This window comes from Homo sapiens, chromosome 20 (assembly GCF_000001405.40).
Source record: "Homo sapiens chromosome 20, GRCh38.p14 Primary Assembly".
In the NCBI taxonomy this organism is placed as follows: domain Eukaryota; kingdom Metazoa; phylum Chordata; class Mammalia; order Primates; family Hominidae; genus Homo; species Homo sapiens.
The window spans coordinates 47,309,640-47,327,539 of NC_000020.11; the positions used below are offsets into that span (position 1 = coordinate 47,309,640).

The 17,900-nt window shown below is 49.1% G+C and overlaps 1 protein-coding gene and 1 long non-coding RNA gene across 21 annotated transcripts in view, besides 7 other annotated features; one reads left to right on the forward strand and one right to left on the reverse strand.

Moving 5' to 3' along the window:
* Positions 1 to 17,900, reverse strand: part of ZMYND8 (zinc finger MYND-type containing 8) — a 147,486-nt gene that overhangs the window by 100,426 nt on the left and 29,160 nt on the right. For all 20 annotated transcript variants that reach the window (NM_001281781.3, NM_001281784.3, NM_001281771.3 and 17 more), the window contains one exon: positions 417 to 565. In NM_001281781.3, the coding sequence (NP_001268710.1) occupies positions 417 to 565 (149 nt within the window). The remainder of the gene's footprint in view (positions 1 to 416; positions 566 to 17,900) is intronic.
* Positions 6,848 to 7,765: an enhancer, noted in NCBI's record as "NANOG-H3K27ac-H3K4me1 hESC enhancer chr20:45945231-45946148 (GRCh37/hg19 assembly coordinates)". NCBI's record gives its function as "activates a minimal SCP1, AML or CMV promoter by ChIP-STARR-seq in naive and primed H9 embryonic stem cells {active_cell/tissue: H9 hESC(naive and primed)}" and the evidence as "EXISTENCE:reporter gene assay evidence [ECO:0000049][PMID:30033119]".
* Positions 6,848 to 8,683: a biological region, named in NCBI's record as "P300/CBP strongly-dependent group 1 enhancer GRCh37_chr20:45945484-45946683".
* Positions 7,101 to 8,300: an enhancer, noted in NCBI's record as "P300/CBP strongly-dependent group 1 enhancer chr20:45945484-45946683 (GRCh37/hg19 assembly coordinates)". NCBI's record gives its function as "activates an origin of replication core promoter dependent on BRD2, BRD4, P300/CBP, MED14 and CDK7 cofactors, with strong dependence on P300/CBP, by STARR-seq in HCT116 cells {active_cell/tissue: HCT116}" and the evidence as "EXISTENCE:reporter gene assay evidence [ECO:0000049][PMID:35650434]".
* Positions 7,766 to 8,683: an enhancer, noted in NCBI's record as "OCT4-NANOG-H3K27ac-H3K4me1 hESC enhancer chr20:45946149-45947066 (GRCh37/hg19 assembly coordinates)". NCBI's record gives its function as "activates a minimal SCP1, AML or CMV promoter by ChIP-STARR-seq in primed H9 embryonic stem cells {active_cell/tissue: H9 hESC(primed)}" and the evidence as "EXISTENCE:reporter gene assay evidence [ECO:0000049][PMID:30033119]".
* Positions 8,684 to 9,600: an enhancer, noted in NCBI's record as "OCT4-NANOG-H3K27ac-H3K4me1 hESC enhancer chr20:45947067-45947983 (GRCh37/hg19 assembly coordinates)". NCBI's record gives its function as "activates a minimal SCP1, AML or CMV promoter by ChIP-STARR-seq in naive H9 embryonic stem cells {active_cell/tissue: H9 hESC(naive)}" and the evidence as "EXISTENCE:reporter gene assay evidence [ECO:0000049][PMID:30033119]".
* Positions 8,863 to 11,115, forward strand: LOC100131496 (uncharacterized). Its single transcript, NR_024594.1, has one exon. It is a non-coding gene; the product is annotated as an uncharacterized LOC100131496 (long non-coding RNA).
* Positions 9,601 to 10,519: an enhancer, noted in NCBI's record as "OCT4-NANOG-H3K27ac-H3K4me1 hESC enhancer chr20:45947984-45948902 (GRCh37/hg19 assembly coordinates)". NCBI's record gives its function as "activates a minimal SCP1, AML or CMV promoter by ChIP-STARR-seq in naive and primed H9 embryonic stem cells {active_cell/tissue: H9 hESC(naive and primed)}" and the evidence as "EXISTENCE:reporter gene assay evidence [ECO:0000049][PMID:30033119]".
* Positions 12,356 to 13,273: an enhancer, noted in NCBI's record as "H3K27ac-H3K4me1 hESC enhancer chr20:45950739-45951656 (GRCh37/hg19 assembly coordinates)". NCBI's record gives its function as "activates a minimal SCP1, AML or CMV promoter by ChIP-STARR-seq in primed H9 embryonic stem cells {active_cell/tissue: H9 hESC(primed)}" and the evidence as "EXISTENCE:reporter gene assay evidence [ECO:0000049][PMID:30033119]".

Genomic DNA, 17,900 nt, shown 5'->3' on the forward strand with positions numbered 1-17,900 from the left:
AGGCCAGAAGGGAACTTGCCTCAAGCCAAGCAACCGCTTCCAGACAGAGCTGAGAACTAGTCCTGTGGGCATGGCCCAGGAGGGGAAAACTCCTCAGGCCACATGGGGAAAACAGTCCTAAAAGCATGAAAAAAAAAAAAATACAAATACAAGGAAACGCCCCAAACCCTAAAGAATTATATACCCTCATCTCATCTGGGTCCCTGCTCTGTCCCCGAAACAGATCTGAAAACCCACTGGAAATTTCTACACAGGCCCATTTTTAGCCATCTTTTTTTGTCCAAGGCAAATGACAGCCAGCGCAAGGCAGCTAACTAAATCCAAGAAAGCCGGCGCTTACAAGGATCCAGAGGTTCAGCGCTACTAGCTGGCCTCTGTCCCACCAGTGAGGACACCGTTCCCAGCGGCTGCTTTACCTGCTCCTTATTGTTACTGTTCAGTAAGCCAGGTTTCTTTTTCTTTTTAATGGGGCTTGTTGATGTGTCCTGCGGCGAGTGGCCATTGGAAGAATGTGGAGGGCTGGGGAACTTTCTTTTCTGGGCTGTTCTCTCTGCAGAGCCAGGATCTGAAAGAGATACAGGACCACAGGTTTTAAAGCAGTCAGGGAGGCCTGGGCCCCACAGGGAGGAGGTGTGGAGGAACCAAGTGTGGGAACAGAGTGCATTCTGTCCCCCAACTCCCGAAGCCACTTCAGTGTTCCTCCTCCCAGAATATACGTGCCCCCTTCTTCACTGTCTGCTTCAACAGTCAGACAAGTATTTCTTTGACCTATGTAACATTTTTGTAAAATCTTAACTTGTTGCCAAGATACAAAAATCAGGAAATTTCATGTAATAACCTAGATTTTTCACTTTTCTTAAAAAAACAGATTAGGAGGGCCAGGCACGGTGGCTCATGCCTGTAATCCCAGCACTTTGGGAGGCCAAAGTGGGCAGATCACAAGGTCAAGAGTTCAAGACCAGCCTGGCCAATACCGTCTCTACTAAGAGTACAAAAATTAGCCTGGTGTGGTGGCACATGCCTTTAATCCCAGCTACTCGGGAGGCTGAGGCAGGAGAACTGCTTGAACCCAGGAGGCGGAGATTTCAGTGAGCCGAGATTGTGTCACTGCACTCCAGCCTGGGGGACAGGGCAAGCCTCCGACGTGAAAAAAAAAAAAAAAAAAAAACAGATTAGGACCTGCAGGCCCCTATAGCACCAGATACAGCTGAGTAACAGCTACCCCACTTTTAGATGGAAACATGTGCAATCGCCACTCTTCCCCACTACGTCCCTGCTGATGAGACCGAGGCCAACCTGCCAACAGTCATCACACAGGGACCAGTATTGTTCTTACCCCAAAGAAATACGACTTGTCCATGCCCATGCCTGATTGCAAAAGCAGGAAACCAAAGAAGATAGACCAGGAAGGCCATACTTCAAGGAAATGAAGGCATACATTCTCCTTTGTGGAAAACAACATCATTTATTCGTGTTTAATAGGCTATGAACTGTAATTGTGTGGAAAGAACACACCCCACCCACCGGGAAGTTCCCGTGCTCCCACCGCCTCTGGGCCTCGTGTTTGAGACCCTCCTCCAAAAAGATCAATACAAATTACATCCTTGTGGATTCTCACCAGCCCCACTCTTGTTCATGCACCCCTTCTTTTCATCTTTCAGCATCTCATTTAAACACATGTACACTTCAGCCAGGCACGGTGGCTCACACCTATAAACCCCAGCACCTTGGGAGGCCGAGGCAGGCGGATCACCTGAGGTCACAAGATCAAGACCAGCCTGGCCAACATGGTAAAACCATGTTAACGAGATCAAGACCAGCTGGGCCAACATGGTAAAACCAGTCCTCTGTTTGCAGACGTCTGTTTCAAGTGCTTTGGGTACAGCCCACAGTGCTGCAATGCAGTCATCTTGCCTTTGCTCCTTTTCCACTGTATTTGTAGAATGTGTTTCTAGAGGAGATTGTTGGGTCAAAGGCCAAGTGGAGAAAAAGTTTTCACGAACAATGGCGGGAGGTCATGAGATCAAGACCAGCCTGGCCAATAAGGTAAAACCCCGTCTCTACTAAAAATACAAAAACAATTAGCTGGGTGTGGTGGCACACACCTGTAATCCCAGCTACTTGGGAGACTGAGGCAGGAGAATCGCTTGAACCCAGGAGGCAGAGGTTGTAGTGAGCCGAGATCACACCACTGCACTCAAGCCTGGGTGACAAAAGTGAGACTCTGTCTCAAAAATAATAATAAAAATACATAAACACAGGTACACTTCCACTACCATCCATTCAATCTTCACCTCCAAGGACTTGAATCCACTCCATGCCCAATGGTGGTCTTCTTAACTTAGGGACGATGTAATGACACAGCCTGGTGTACCTGACATCCTGAGGAACGAAAGCTACAAATACCACAAGAGGGGTGAGCTGTGCCAAGACCATAGGGGGGATGGGGTGGGATGGGATGTGAAATCTGCGAAGATGTCAATTACCAAAGATGCTCCTGCCCCAGTTTTACCACTCAGCATGTAGGCTGCATGGTGCATCTGTCTCCCTGTCTGTAGGAGGGTCACTGACAGCAGATTAACAGCATCCAACGTGGTCCACGCAAGGCCTCCTAGTGGTTGACTTTCATGAAAAGGCAAAGTATCTTCCAGCAGATTCACAAAGGAAGACAATGAACACTTTCCCAAAACCCAATCTACAGGATGGAACTCTCCAGCCTCACCATGCAAGCTTCTGGACAATCCTGAACAAATATTCAGGGGGCTGCGTGGAGACCCAGTCATGAGTGGAAATTAAATGCTAACAACAGGTACCTTGAGGGTGAACAGACCTGAGAGTCCAGAGATCAAACCACAGACATCAAAAGGGCGGCCCAGAGAGCCCAAAGCGCTGGACCAAAGGCACACAGCAGCTAGTTAGTGGGAAAACTCACGAAAGAGACAAAGAGGTCAGCCTAGCCAACATGGTGAAACCCCGTACTTTTGTACTAAAAACACAAAAATTAGCTAGGCATGGTAGCGCACACCCATAATCCCAGCTACTTGGGAGGCTGGGGCAGGATAATCACTTGAACCCTGGAGTCAGAGGTTGCTGTGAGCCGAGATCACACCGCTGCACTCCAGTCTGGGCGACAGAGCGAGACTCCGTCTCAAAAAAAAAAAAAAAAAAGAGAGAGAGGTGCAGCCCGGGGTGAGCACATTCCCCCAGAGAAACCTCCCCTCCCTCCCACATGGGTCCTCACCCGACTCTCGCCACTGTTCCTGAAAACTTTTTCTCCACTTGGCCTTTGACCCAACAATCTCCTCTAGAAACACATTCTACAAACATAGTGGAAAAGGAGCAAAGGCAAGATGACTGCACTGCAGCACTGTGGGCTGTACCCAAAGCACTTGAAACAAACGTCTGCAAACAGAGGACTGCTCTAAGAATACATTACAGTCACATGGCCGGACACAGTGTTCACACCTGTAATCCCAGCACTTTGAGAGGCCGAGGGGGAAGGATTGCTTGAGCCCAGGAGTTTGAGGGTATTGTGAACTATGATCACGTCGGAGCCTGGGTGAAAAGGAGAGACACTGTCTCTGAAAAAAAAAAAAAAAAATTTAATTATAAAAATTTTTAAGTTCTTTAAAAAGATCTAAAAACACCTGGGCAACATGGTGAAACCCCGCATCTACAAAAAATATAAAAATTAGGCTGGAGGCCGGGCGCAGTGGCTCACGCCTGTAATCCCAGCACTTTGGGAGGCCAAGGCGGGCGGATTACAAAGTCAGGAGATCGAGACCATCCTGGCTAACATGGTGAAACCCCGTCTCTACCAAAAATACAAAAAATTAGCCGGGCGTGGTGGCGGGCGCCTGTAGTCCCAGCTACTCGGGAGGCTGAGGCAGGAGAATGGCGTGAACCTGGGAGGCGGAGCTTGCAGTGAGCCAAGATCGCACCACTGCACTCCAACCTGGGCAACAGAGGGGTGAGACTCCATCTCAAAAAAATAATAATAATAATAATTAGGCTGGGGACGGTGGCTCACACCTGTAATCTCAGCACTTTGGGAGGCCGAGGCAAGCGAATCATCTGAGGTCAGGAGTTCGAGACCAGACTGGCCAACATGGTGAAACCTCATCTCTACTAAAAATACAAAAAACTAGCTGGGTGTGGTGGCACGTGCCTATAGTCCCAGCTACTTGGGAGGCTGAGGCAGGAGAATCGATTGAGCCCAGGAGGCAGGGGTTGCAGTGAGCTGAGATCGCACGACTGCACTCCAGCCTGGGCAACAGAGCAAGACTCCGTCTCAAAAAAATTAATAATAAATAAAGTGTATCTAGCACCATTAATGGACCAATATTCCTCCCAAAAAAAGATTTAATATACACATCAATGTTTGCATAAACCTAGAATATTCCTGGATGAACACAAAAGTACAACAAAGCTCGACTTGGGGACTACTGGTTGCCTTGGGAGGGGTGCCTGCAGGGAGTCCAGGGAAGGGGAGTCCAGGGAAGGATTATTTTCCACTCTATACCCTTGTGTACTTATTTATCATGTGACTGGATGACGTTACGAAAATAAAGAAAATTGGCCAGGTGCGGTGGCTCACGCCTGTAATCCCAGCACCTTGGGAGGCTGAGGTTAGCAGATCGCTTGAGGTCAGGAGTTCGAGACCAGACTGGCCAAGATGGTAAAATCCTGTCTCTACTAAAAATACAAAAATCAGCCAGGTGTGGTGGTACGCTCCAGTAGTCCCAACTACTAGGGAGGCTGAAGCGGGAGAATCACTTGGCGCCAGGAGGCAGAGGTTGCAGTGAGCCAAGATTGCACCACTGCACTCCAGCCTGGGCGAAAGAGAGAGACTCCATCTTTAAAAACAAAACAAAACAAAAAGAATGCAAATTATCAGGCCCCACCCCAGATCTACAGAATCAGAAACTCTGGGGTAGGGCCCAGCAATCTGTTTTAATAAGTCCTCCCGAAGACTGGGAGGTACACTAGTTTGAGGAACGCTAGGGTATGTGTATGTGTTTAGGAGATGGGGTCTGAGTTCTCAACTCTACACAATCCTGTTCCACACTGGCGAGCCAGAGCCAATGGCCTCTACTTCCAGACATTATTTGAGGGGTTGGTTCAGGACTCAGGATAGAAGCTAAGCAAGGGAGTCAGGCTGGAGAATGAGGCTAAACAGGAAACAACCCCAGGCAAGTCTCCACCTCTCAGGGCCTCAGGGCCTCACCTGCAAAATGGGAAGAGCCGGGAGAAAGGGACTAGACTAGAAGTTCTTGTTTAAAGACCAGACAGTGCTCCAGGGACCCTTGAACAGGCCATCACTGTATACAGGAGTGCAATTTCTAGGGACATGGAGTCATAGCTTCCTTCACCTTTGCAAAGGTGTCCTCAGCTCCAATGATTAAAAACTTCAGGGCCCCCAGAGGATGTTAAAAGTCCCTCTTCAACATTACTTAATTTAATGAGAAAGTGGGAAAAAAAATCACTAGACAGTAATATACTTGTAAGCGATTTAGAGTTGGCAAGGGACTATCACCCAAGCCCACCAGGAAACAAAGGGGGAAACTGAGGTTCTGCTCAGCAAGAGGTAGGGGGAGGTGGGTCCTAGCCCAAGCATGCCCACACCTGAGAGTATTCCAAACCTTCTAGTTTCAGCAAAACATAAAAACCCCAATTCTGTTTGCTGTTACAAACACCAATTCCCCCTGGAGTTGATGAGAGTTCAGTGACTGTATCCAAGGGGTCGAAATTTGATAGGTTCCAAACAACAGACACATCAGTCAACAGCAGGAGATTTCAATGAAGGGTTGTAGGGAGAAGAATTAGGAAATGCCTGCTGGATTCGGTATCCTTCGGAGGGATGAGACAGCAGGGGGGCATTATTACTTAAATGCCCCCCACTCCAGTGGGGGCTGGGCCTCTGGTGATGATGGACTGGTGGGTGTACACCTGACTGTAGCCGTGGTACCCAGGCTCCATAAGGACCCTTTCCAGAAAGCTGAGTCAATTTTTTCTTCTTTAATGATTTAATTCTGACAAGGATGTATTGCCCAGTGCATTTCATCTATAAACTTTGAACAATGACAAACAGCCACTGTCGACTGAACCACTGGTTCACCCTGGATCTGAAAGACTTTTCTGCTGCCTTTTCTGAGGGAGTAGGACCTGTGACCCCGCCCGGCTGGCTCACTCACAACCCTCTGCCTCTCACCCATCCCCCAAAAATGAGTGGTTCTGAATGAGTTAACGTGGGTGAGGGAGGAATGCAGCCTTATGGAGAGGACAGAGCAGTGACTCAGGAAAACAGCTTGGCATGGAGCGGAAAGCAGCAGAATTTTCCTCTCCTTGTGACATTTTGCTGAAATTGTAACAATATGGGAAGGTCTACTGGGTATTAAGAACCAGGCATGAGGCCGGGCACGGTGGCTCACGCCTGTAATCCCAGCACTTTGGGAGGCCAAGGTGGGCAGATCACAAGGTCAGGAGTTCGAGACCAGCCTGACCAACATGGTGAAACCCCGTCTCTACTAAAAATACAAAAATTAGCTGAATGTGATGGTGAGCACCTATAATCCCAGCTACTCAGGAGGCTGAGGCAGGAAAATTGCTTGAACCCAGGAGGCGGAGGTTGCAGTAAGCCGAGATCATGCCATTGTACTCCAGCCTGGGCAACAGAACGAGACTTTGTCTCAAAAAAAAAAAAAAAAGGAACCAAGCATATGAGGAGATCCTTCCCAAGCCTGTGATCCACCAGAAATCATCCTGGAGCTCAGCACTTCCTGGATGTCTTTTGATTTAAGGGGCATCTTAATTCAAGATAACACAGGCTCATAGCTTTCCTGAGCCAAGAGTATGAAGAGCTAAGAGTTTCGGCCAGGTGTGGTGGCTCACACCCATAATCCCAGCACTTTGGGAGGCCGAGGCAGGCAGATTGCCTGAGGTCAGGAGTTCAAAACCAGTCTGGCCAACATGGTGAAACCCCATCTCTACTAAAAATACAAAAAAATTAGCCAGGAGTGGTGGTGTGCGCCTGTAATCCCAGCTACTTGGGAGGCTGAGGCAGGAAAATTGCTTGAACCAGGGAGGTGGAGGTTGTGGTGAGCCAAGATCGCACCACTGCACTCCAGCCTGGGTGACAGAGCAAGACTCGCTCTCAAAAAAAAAAAAAAAGAAAGAAAGCTAAGAGTTTCTTTTATTATATGTGATATTCTAGGCAATGTTCAAAATGCATTTCCTGTAGTCCCCACTAAGTCACCTGCCTGAGATCACAAAGCTACCAAGGAGCAGTGCTGGGATTTGAACCCAGGCAGTGAGGCTCCGAGGGCCAGAGCAGTACTGGGATTTCAACCCAGGCAGTGGGACTCCGAGGGCCAGCTTCTAATCTCTGTACCACATGGCCTTGTACCAGGAGGGCCTCATCCTCAGCCCTGTAGCAAGAGGACTCCCTAATTTAGGGTCTATGATTTAAGAGCACACTCTCATTTTGCCTTTTTTCCCCTAAACTGCAGATGGAAGTATAGGGACAGAGAAGGTCCAACAAACAGTTTCAGGAACTGGGAAAAGGTGGAAAGTCGTGTCATTCACTGATGACACCGTTCTCTCAAAGGCAGTCCCCAGAAAGCACATTCACCTCCCAATTTCCAAACAGTGGCATCAGTCCCTGAAATAGGCTGGGGGCTCCAGGGCCAACTCACCTCCCCTTTTCCAGCCTCCATCAAGGCTAGGCCTCCCCAGCAGGCCACATCAGGTACCCGCCCTCCACCCCACTCCTGCCCCCACATCCGGTGCCTGAGTCACAGCACATGCCGTTCTCCAGGGGCTAGGAAATGACACACCATTACAGGGAATTGTCTCCTCCCTCAAGGGAAAGGGCCGCAGCTGAAAGGCCGGGAGCTTCTTGTGTTTTTGTGGGTGTTTAATTTCCTTAATGATGTCGACAGCAAGCCTGCTGGGGCCTGAACGAAAAGAGAAGCTTGGTCCACAGGCTGAGACAGGCATGACAGGCCACAGGAGTAGGGCAACCAACCATGTGCTTAGCTGGGTCCCGGGCAAACCAGGACACATAGGTCAAGGCATATGCTCTCATGGGCCAGGTTGCAAACGACAGAGAGGCAGGATGCCACAGTGGTGGGGAATCAGCTTTCTGGCGTCAAAATGCATGCAGAACCTGGCTGTGCTCTCCCCTGCAGTGTGACCGTAAAAAGGCAACTTAACCTCTCTGTGCCTCAGAGAGTTTACCACTTTACAAGTGGTACCTTGTAAAGTTATCGAAGAAGTCAATGAGTTAATTCACGTAAAGCTCTTAGTATAATACCTGGCAAATAGTAAGCACCTATTCAATGGTAACTAATGGGTAACTGTATTTTTTTTAACCAATCACTCTTCCTCCTTTTCTTGCTTCTCTTCCACCTCCTCCCCGACTACCGCCCCCCACTCCAAAAACACAGCTTGCTTTCTGGAAGGAGCATGTTAAATCAATTCCACAAGTTCAAAGCTATGGAAAACACCGGCCTGTGTAGACTGGAGACCAGAATCAGCCCAGGACAGGATTTCTGCATTTCAATCAGACTGAAAATGCCAGGTTTCCCCCAGTAACTGTGAAGGCAGGGTCAGAAGCAGAGGCCTGCTCTACAGCCCTTTTCGTAATCACCAGTCCTCCCCTTGGCCTACTTCAAACATGACCACACACTGCTGCTCCCCCAGAAGCAGCAAAGCAGAGCATGGTTAATCACTTCAAAGCGTTTCCCAAAGACACAGAGCAGGTACCCAAACAGGCCTCCCTTCCCCAGGAATATTTGGGGCCCTCCCCAACCAGTAATTACATCATAAAGAGACAAAAGTCCGGAATTTCCTCCTGGCAGAGCATAGAAGTAAGAAATCAGGAGCAAAGGTTGGGGGTGGGGAGGAAGCAAAATTGTCCTCGCAGCAGAGAATGCCTAAGCCAGGAGGAACTTGTAAATGAAAACCGCTCGCATTAGCAAATGATTATTTCCTCCAACGCTGACCGTCTCTTAGACCCACAGAAACTCGAGGACCGGTCTGCACCCTGGCTGACTTGGGCCTGCCAGAGCTGCCGGGCTGAGCCCTCTCCTCCAGAGGACTGCACTGGCCTGAACTGTGCTTATAAAGAATCTCTGCAAATCAACAGGAACTTCTCATCCAGAGCCGGGATAGGGAGGGCTGGAATGGAAATGAGGCTGTGGAATGAAAGGTCACTCTCAACTTGGGGAAAATGGCATTTCACCAGGAACATCAAGTACCTCGGAGGCAGAACATGCGAGGGGCAGGGAACGCCAAGAGGAGGCACTTACCTGCCATTGAGAAAGTGCGGCTGCTCAGAGGGCCTAGCCTCTCTTGTTCAAAAGAGAACAGAGGCTCACCCACAGCAGACATTCCTGCTTCCGGATCCTCAGCGGCCTCTCCCAGGGGGAGGAGGAAGAAGCAAAGAGAACAGGCTAAGAGTCACCACTTACCAGGCCAGCCCCGGTCTTGTACGCATTAGGTCGCCCGGCGGGGCAAGGACACTGTCACCTCTTTGCAATCAGGCAGTCTGAAACCCAGCGACTTGCCTTCATGTCCCCGGGCTTTCGCCTATAATTTATCACCCTCAACAGCAGCTCGGCTGAGCTGAAAGTCTCCGGTGCAGTGCACCGAAGAGCCATTGATTTCGTGGGATTGTGAATAAATACGAGGAACTGCAGTTGTTCTGCTGGCCGAGGTGACAATATCAGAAGGGAGCCTGGGGGGAGGGAAACAGCTGTGGTTTGCATTTTGAAGTTGTTTTTAACATTTTTAGTAATTGTTTCAGATTCTCCAGTTCTGATGCCCCTCTCCTAGAAATGAGAAAACCCATCTTTTATACTTGAGGTATAATCCTTTCCCACTAGACACAGCCTCCTCCACCCTTCTCTCAATAATGCAGAAGTGGTGATTAAAGGGCACATTCATATGTAAAAGGCGAACTTCCAAACTCGCCTGGCAGGACAGAAATTGCTTCAATCTACAGAAAAGAGGCTGATTTACAATTGAATTCAGTGTTTAGCCCTCAACAACTAGAGGCAATAGCAACCGCGGCCCTTTCTCCTCCCCAGCTGGGATGAGGCCCTCTGGAAAAACGACAACATCGCAACAGGAATTTCCTGGATCAAGAATGCCAAGTTCTTTCCAATTTTACTGAGGCAGGATCCGACTCCCTGTGAGAACGCACTGCCCACCACCCACCCACCCCCTCAGCAGGCCCAGGCCCCAAAGGCTCCCTCCAACATGTGTACATGAGGCCCTTCAAACTCGACCGGAACACCACAAAGAATGTGGAGAAACCGGTTGCCTCTGGCCTTTACATTGTGGCTGGCTGAGGAGCTGGTTCTGGTGGCTGACACCCGTTGGCACTATTTATCCAGCCCCTGCCTGGCTTGGGTTCTGGAAATCTCCGGTGGTAGTGGCTTCCAAACTGCAATGGGGAATCGCGGCGTCAGAGGGCAATTCAGAAACAAAAAGACAGTTCTGTGCTGGCAGCATTTGAAGCACAGAAGTGGGTTGGGAGAAGCAAAGGGAAATTAGCTTCAGAAAGGGGGCAGATGAAGGAAGAGGCGCCACTGCTAACCAACCAAGGTCCCCATCTGCCCTGGATGGTATCTCTAAAAGCCACCTAAAGAAGGCAAAATTCTCTACTGAAACGCCAGGTACGAAGGGACAGGCCCTCCACAGTCACCTTGTCACATTCCTTTGGGGAGCGAAGAGTTCAGACCCAACATGTCACCCAAATTACCCTGGCCAGCCACCACGTAAAGATGCTGCGGCTGTGCATGGTGGCTCACGCCTGTAATCCCAACACGTTGGGAGGCCAAGGCGGGCGGATCACCTGAGGTCAGGAGTTCGAGACCAGCCTGGCCAACATGGCGAAATCCTGTCTCTATTAAAAATACAAAAATTAGCCGGGTGTGGTGGCACACACCTGTGGTACCAGCTACTCCTACTGGGGAAGCTGAGGCAGGAGAATCGCTTGACCCCAGGAGGCTGGAGTGCAGTGAGTCGAGATCACGCCATTGCACTCCAGCCGGGGTGACAGAGCAAGATGCCATCTCAAAAATAAATAAATAAAGATGCTTAACATCACTCAGATAGTAGTGGGGTGATTCTAAGAACATGTCCTATTGTCTACAGGGCTCATGGGTGCACAGAAGGATAGACGGGGTAGCCACTGCAACAGGGCTTTGTAGAAAAGTCAGACAGGAACCAACATTGATGCCCATATGTGAAACATCATGATGCAGCCATAAAATGGAATAAAGATGGAATCCCGTCTGCATAGACGGGCATGGTCCAAAATCCAAGTGAAAGGAGACCAGAAATAGAACCAGGGTAAAAGTTTGTTCTCTGAGGCTTCTGGGTTTGCAGAGACATGGAGGAACACCCAGGAAACCCAGTAAACGCTGGACTCCTCTGAATTATTTCTGATCATGTTTACATATTTAACGAAGGTATTTATTAATGGCTTTGGGGAAACTGGGTGATAATGACAATATTTATGGAACACTCACTGCATCCTGGGCACTGCCCAGCCAGGGATCACGTCTGTATCCCTTGTACCCGGCATACAGCAGGAGCTCAGTACACGCCCCCATCATCAAACAAACACTTTTACGGGGCTCAGGTGTTTAGAAGAGTGGAAAGCAGTATCAGCACACCCAGGGGACATCTGGCAATGTCTGGGGACATTTTTGGTTGTCACAACTGGGCAGGAAAAGGAGTTGCGACAGGCATCTACTGGGTAGAGGTGAGGGATGTTGCTAAACATTCTACAATGCACAGGACAGCCCTAAGACAAAGAATGATCAGGCCCAAAGTCCACAGTGCCAAGGCTGAGAAATCCTGGTAGAAAGAAACTTCAGTGAGCTACCAGGCAGGTCTCACCATGTGTAAACACACCACCCACAGAGGTGCATGTATTCATTAAGAAGGAAAATGATTCCTGATGTTTCACCTGGTGGCCCTGACTTCAGACTTCAAAGAAAATAATGGGACCAGTCAGTCAACAAATAGTCACTAGGCAACAACTAGATATCTGGGCTATCAGGAAAACTGTCCCAGGAAGGCCTCTGCCCTGATGGAAGGACAGCTAGAAACACAGTTGTAACAGCTACCTTTTATTGAGCAGTTACTATCTGGGAGGCATTGTTAGAAATACAAATATCGATTTATTTAAAACTCGCCGCCCTTTTTTTTTTTTTTTTTTTTTTGAAACAGAGTCTCACTCTGTCACCTAGGCTGGAGTGCAGTGGCACAATCTGGGCTCATTGCAACCTCAGCCTCCCAGGCTCAGGAGATCCTCCTGTCTCAGCCTCCCAAGTAGCTAGGACTACAGGCACAGGCCACCATGCCTGGCTAATTTTTGTATTTTTTGTAGAGAAGGGGTCTCGCCATGTTGCCCAGACTGGTCTCAAACTCCAGGGCTCAAGCAATCCCTCTGCCTCAGCCGCCCAAAGTGCTGGGATTACAGATGTGACCCACCTCACCCAGCCTCCCTGTTTCATTGATAAGGTAATGAAAGCCCAGAGAAAACCAGGCCCATGGTAAAGCGGCTATTAAGTACAGAATGATTGAGAAACTGATTACAGATGGACAAACCACTGAACAGGAAAAATATCAGGAGTTTGTGAACACACCTAGCAGGTGTGAGGATAGACAGGGAAATATTCCTCTATTTCCTTTGCAGAAGGGTTTCATGTGGTTCACAGCTATTGTTTACTGAGAAGCTACAAACTGTCCCAAGAATCCCAAGAGGTTGGGATGGCATTTCTTTTTTTTTTTTTTTTTTTTCAGCACAGAATCTCACTCTGTCTCCAGGCTGGAGTGCAGTGGCGCGATCTTGGCTCACTGCGACCTCCGCCTCCTGGGTTCAAGTGATTCCCCTGCCTCAGTCTCCCAAGTAGCTGGGACTACAGGCACGTACCACCACACCCATTTTCACTATGTTGGCCAGGATGGTCTCGATCTCCTGACCTCGTGATCCACCTGCCTCGGCCTCCCAAAGTGCTGGGATTACAGGCGTGAGCCACCACACCCAGCCAGGATGGTATTTCTGTACCCATTTTATAGGTGAGGCTCAGAGAGGCAAAGTCATTTATATGCTTCAAGACAAGCAGATCGACACAGCACGCCCCACCTCCATCACGGTTGAGTTCCACTCTAAAGCCCTTCACTGTACAGGTCAACTGTCTCTCCTAGGCTTGTGAGTGCCACCTGGTAATTCTCCATCACAAAGGGCATGCTTGGCATTGGCCAACGTCAACACAGCATTGTCGTTCAGTGTGTGGGCTCTGGAGCCAGACTACTAGGTCTGAATCCAGGTGCTGGCACCTGCCAGCTGTGTGACCTTGGGCAAGTTTCTTAGCCTCTCTGTGACTCAGTCATTCAGTTGGAACTATTAGGCTCTTCCCAAAAGGGTTGTGAGGATTAAATAAGATAATGCATACAAAGTGAATGAAAGGCATCTGGCACATCAAAGCACCATACTTTATTACCATTATTCTCCTGGGGGGAAGAGGGGGCCAGGGCACAGAAAAAGGCAATAACCGAGAAATTTCAAACTCATTTCCCCCAACTTTTCTCTTTTTTGGGGGAGACAGGGACTCACTCTGTCAGCCAGGCTGCAGGACAGTGGCACAGTCATGGCTCACTGCAGCCTCAACCTCCCAGGTTCAAGCGATCCTCCCACCTCAGGCTCCCAAGTAGCTAACACCACGGTGTGCAATACCATGACCACTTAATTTTTTATTTTTCGTAGCGATGGGATCTCCTAGTCTCAAACTTCTGGGGTCAAGTGATCCTCCCACCTCAGCCTCTCAAAGTACTAGGACTACAGGCATGAGCTGTTGCACCTGGCCCCCAAATCTTTCTGTACCTTCACCAGACTACCTCTTCCAAGCCTGTTTTTAAAAAGGGTTCACTGATGAGAAACACAAATATTCACAATAAACCCCCTCAGGCTGTCAGGAGCTCAAGGAAGCCAGGCTCAAAATCCCTCCAGGGCTCAGAACTTCCTTGAAAATCAAAGCAGAATTCTCCAGATGGCCCACAATCCCAGCCCCACCCCACCTCCACTGACCTTCCCCCAGGACTCCTCCAACTGCACTCCCCTCTCCACTCAAATGAGGCTCATCAAGCTAGGGAGAGAGCTGGTCCTGGCTCACATGGCTGTGTGTCCCAACAGGTTACTTCACCTCTCTGAGCCTCAGAGTCCTAGTCATCTGCCAAGTGTTATTAAGAATGCCAAACCTGGCCGGGCGTGGTGGCTCACGCCTGTAATCCCAGCACTTTGGGAGGCCGAGGCTGATGGATCACAAAGTCAAGAGATCGAGACCATCCTGGCCAACATGGTGAAAACCTGTCTCCACTACAAATACAAAAATTAGCTGGGTGTGGTGGTGGAGGACGCCTGTAATCCCAGCTGCTCGGGGGGCTAAGGCAGGAGAATCACTTGAACCCGGGAGGCGGAGGTTGCCATAAGCCGAGATCATGCCATTGCACTCCAACCTGGGCGCCAGAGCGAGACTCTGTCTCAAAAAAAAAAAAAAAAAAAGAATGCCAAACCTTTACCGGTCGTGGTGTCTCACGTCTGTAATCCCAGCACTTTGGGAGGCCAAGGCAGGTGGATCACCTGAAGTCAGGAGTTCGAGACCAGCCAGGCCAACATGGTAAAACCCCATCTCTACTAAAAAATACAAAAAATTAGCCAGGCATGGTGGCGGGTGCCTGTAATCCCACCTACTCGGGAGGCTGAGGCAGGAGAATCGCTTGAACCTGGGAGGCGGAGGCTGTAGTGAGCCGAGATCGAGCCACTGCACTCCAGCCTGGGCAACAAGAAGCTCTGTCTCAAAAAATAAAAAAGTAAATAAAAACCTCAATAAGATAGTGCACTCCCTGCTTAAAACCCTCAAAGAGCTTACTGTAGACACCTAAGGTCTTATGAAGACCTGCAGTGCCCCTGGTGACCTGATCCTGCCCACCTTCTCTCCTTCATTCACTCAGCTCCAACCCCAATGGCCTCCTTTCAGCTCCTTAGACAAGCTCCTTCGCATGCGGCTGGCCCCTTCATCTATAATGTTCTGTGCCCAGTCCTCTCCATAGCTGCCACTTCATCTTTTGGCTCACTGCCCTAGAGAGGCCTTCTCTGACCACCCCAGCCTCCAGCCTCCAGACTCCTTATTATATAATCCTGAAGTTATTTTTTTCCCTTCATTACAGTCATATATAGGTGAAAATTATTTTTTATTTTTTATTTTTTGAGGAGTCTCGCTCTGTTGCCCAAGCTGGAGTACAATGGTGTGACCTTGGCTCACTGCAACTTCCACCTCCTGGGTTCAAGCCATTCTCCTGCCTCAGCCTCTCGAGTAGCTGGGACTACAGGCGTGCGCCACCACGCCCAGCTAATTTTTGTATTTTTGGTAGAGACGGGGTTTCACCATGTTTGCCAGGCTGCTCTCAAACTCCTGACCTCAGGTGATTCACCCACCTCGGCCTCCCAAAGTACTGCAATTACAAGCGTGAGCCACCACACCTGGCCCATAGTTGAAAATTATCAAAAATTATTTTCCTCTTCTGCTGGTTCACTGGTTTATTGTGTCTCTCCCTCCAGAGTGTGAGCTCAATCTCAGCTTGTCCATCCTTCTTTGCTGTAGCCCAGTGCCAGGTACATGGCCTGGCTCGGAAGTACCCCAAAGTACATATCAGACCGACTAACTGAGCGACTGTACAGGGTTAACAAAGCCCTGTACAGGTGGGCCAGCCAACCTGACTCAGCAAACTCCAGTTTTTCTTCCCCAGTCTAAGAATTTCTTCCAGCAAATCAGGAAGGCAGCAGGGTAGCGAAGTCAACAGGGAAGATTACACAAATGGGAGCCTGGTCACGTCGGCCTCTGAAAGGGACCCCAGAACAGGACATTCTCCTTTCAACAGGTACTCAGCCATTCTCTTGCCTAAAGAACCCATTTCCCCCAAAAGCAGGGGAGTAAGTAAAGATTTATAACTTGAATGGGATGGGGCCATTCAGCTAAATGCAATTACTGAAAAATCAAAGGGGGATATCTCAGGAGGTTTTTCTAAGACAACCAATTTACTCATTCTCTCAATTATTCTTTTTCCATTTTGTTTTGTTTTTTTTTTCTGAGACAGAGTTTCGTTCTTGTTGCCCAGGCTGGAGTGCAATGGCACAATCTCCACCTCCTGATTCAAGCAATTCTCCTGCCTCAGCCTCCTGAGTAACTGGGATTACAGGCACATGCCACCACACCCAGCTAATTTTATTTTATTTTATTTATTTATCTATTTATTTTTTTGAGATGGAGTATTGCATGTGGCTCAGGCTGGAGTGCAATGGTGCAGTCTCAGCTCACTGAAACCTCTGCCTCCCAAGTTCAAGCAATTCTCCTGCCTCAGCCTCTTGAGTAGCTGGGATTACAGGTGCCCGCTACCACGCCCGGCTAATTCTTTGTATTTCTTAGTAGAGACAGGGTTTCACCATGTTGGCCAGGCTGGTCTTGAACTCCTGACCTCGTGATCCGCCTGCCTCGGCCTCCCAAAGTGATGGGATTACAGGCATGAGCCACCACATCCAGCCCACCAGCTAGTTTTTGTATTTTTTAGTAGAGATGGGGTTTCACCACGTTGCCCAGGCTGGTCTCGAACTCCTGACCTCAGGTGATCCACCCGCCTCGGCCTCCCAAAGAGCTGGGATTCCAGGCGTGAGCCACCATGCCCGGCCTCCCAGTTATTCTTGAGGAGAGCTATTGTTTCAGAATTATTTAGCAGTTCAAAAAATAAAAATAAAAGAGGCATGACTTTCTCCAGGGAAAACATATTCCCTTCTAGGAGACCCGCCACTGAGATGGCCATTTAACCAAATCTTCAGTCTTGGTTCTGGGCCCTTTTTCTTATACGTCTGAGTCTGAGGATCTCTTTTTCCAAAACCTCCGTAGATCCTCAGTCTCCCTCTGGGTTCTCCAAGTCTGCCCCTGCTATGAGAAGCAGGGATCAGATACAGGTACTGATCTATGTGCAGACAGGCTCAGCTTCGACTGGGAAAAGCAAAAAATTATTTTTCAAGTTCATCTTCCCTGCATCCCATGGAAATGAGTCAAGAGATATTCAGTCTGCTCCTTCCTGTCTCCATCTAGTTCCCTCGAGCTTCTCAGAGTGTCAGCATCACACCAGGCATAAGACGGGTCTAGATTTTCAAGATAAATATTTGTCTTACAACACAGTCCCTCGGCTCTTATCAACTGCTACTGTATCTGGTCCCAAGTCAAGAAATAGCAACCTGGTTTGAAGTGACTGTACCCAAACTTGAAGTCTGGGGATGGGGAGTTACGGGAGGGTCATTAAGGAGGTGGTGCGCAAAACCAGGTCAGCCTTATTAGGAAGAGAGCACTACTTACAGCTGATGCGGTGAACCAGTGATCTGGAAAAGGAGCAATCAGTGGCCAGGAAACCAGTCAGCCTCCCTAGTAGCTGGAATTACAGGCATGCACCACCACGCCTGGCTAATTTTGTATTTTTAGTAGAGATGGGGTTTCACCATGTTGGCCAGGCTGGTCTCCAACTCCCGACCGCCCACCTCAGCCTCCCAAAGTGCTGGGATTACAGACGTGAGCCACCGCCTTTAAAGAGAAGCTCTAGCTTCTCTTTTAAAATAAGGTCATTCACAGATGAAACAAGGGGTTAAAGAAAAAATAGGCCAGGTGCGGTGGCTCACACCTGTAATCCCAGCACTTTGGGAGGCCAAGGCAGGCAGATCGTTTGAAGTCAGGGGTTTCAGAGCAGCCTGGCCAACATGATGAAACCCTGCCTCTACTAAAAATACAAAAATATTAGCCAGGCGTGGTGGCACACACCTGTAGTTC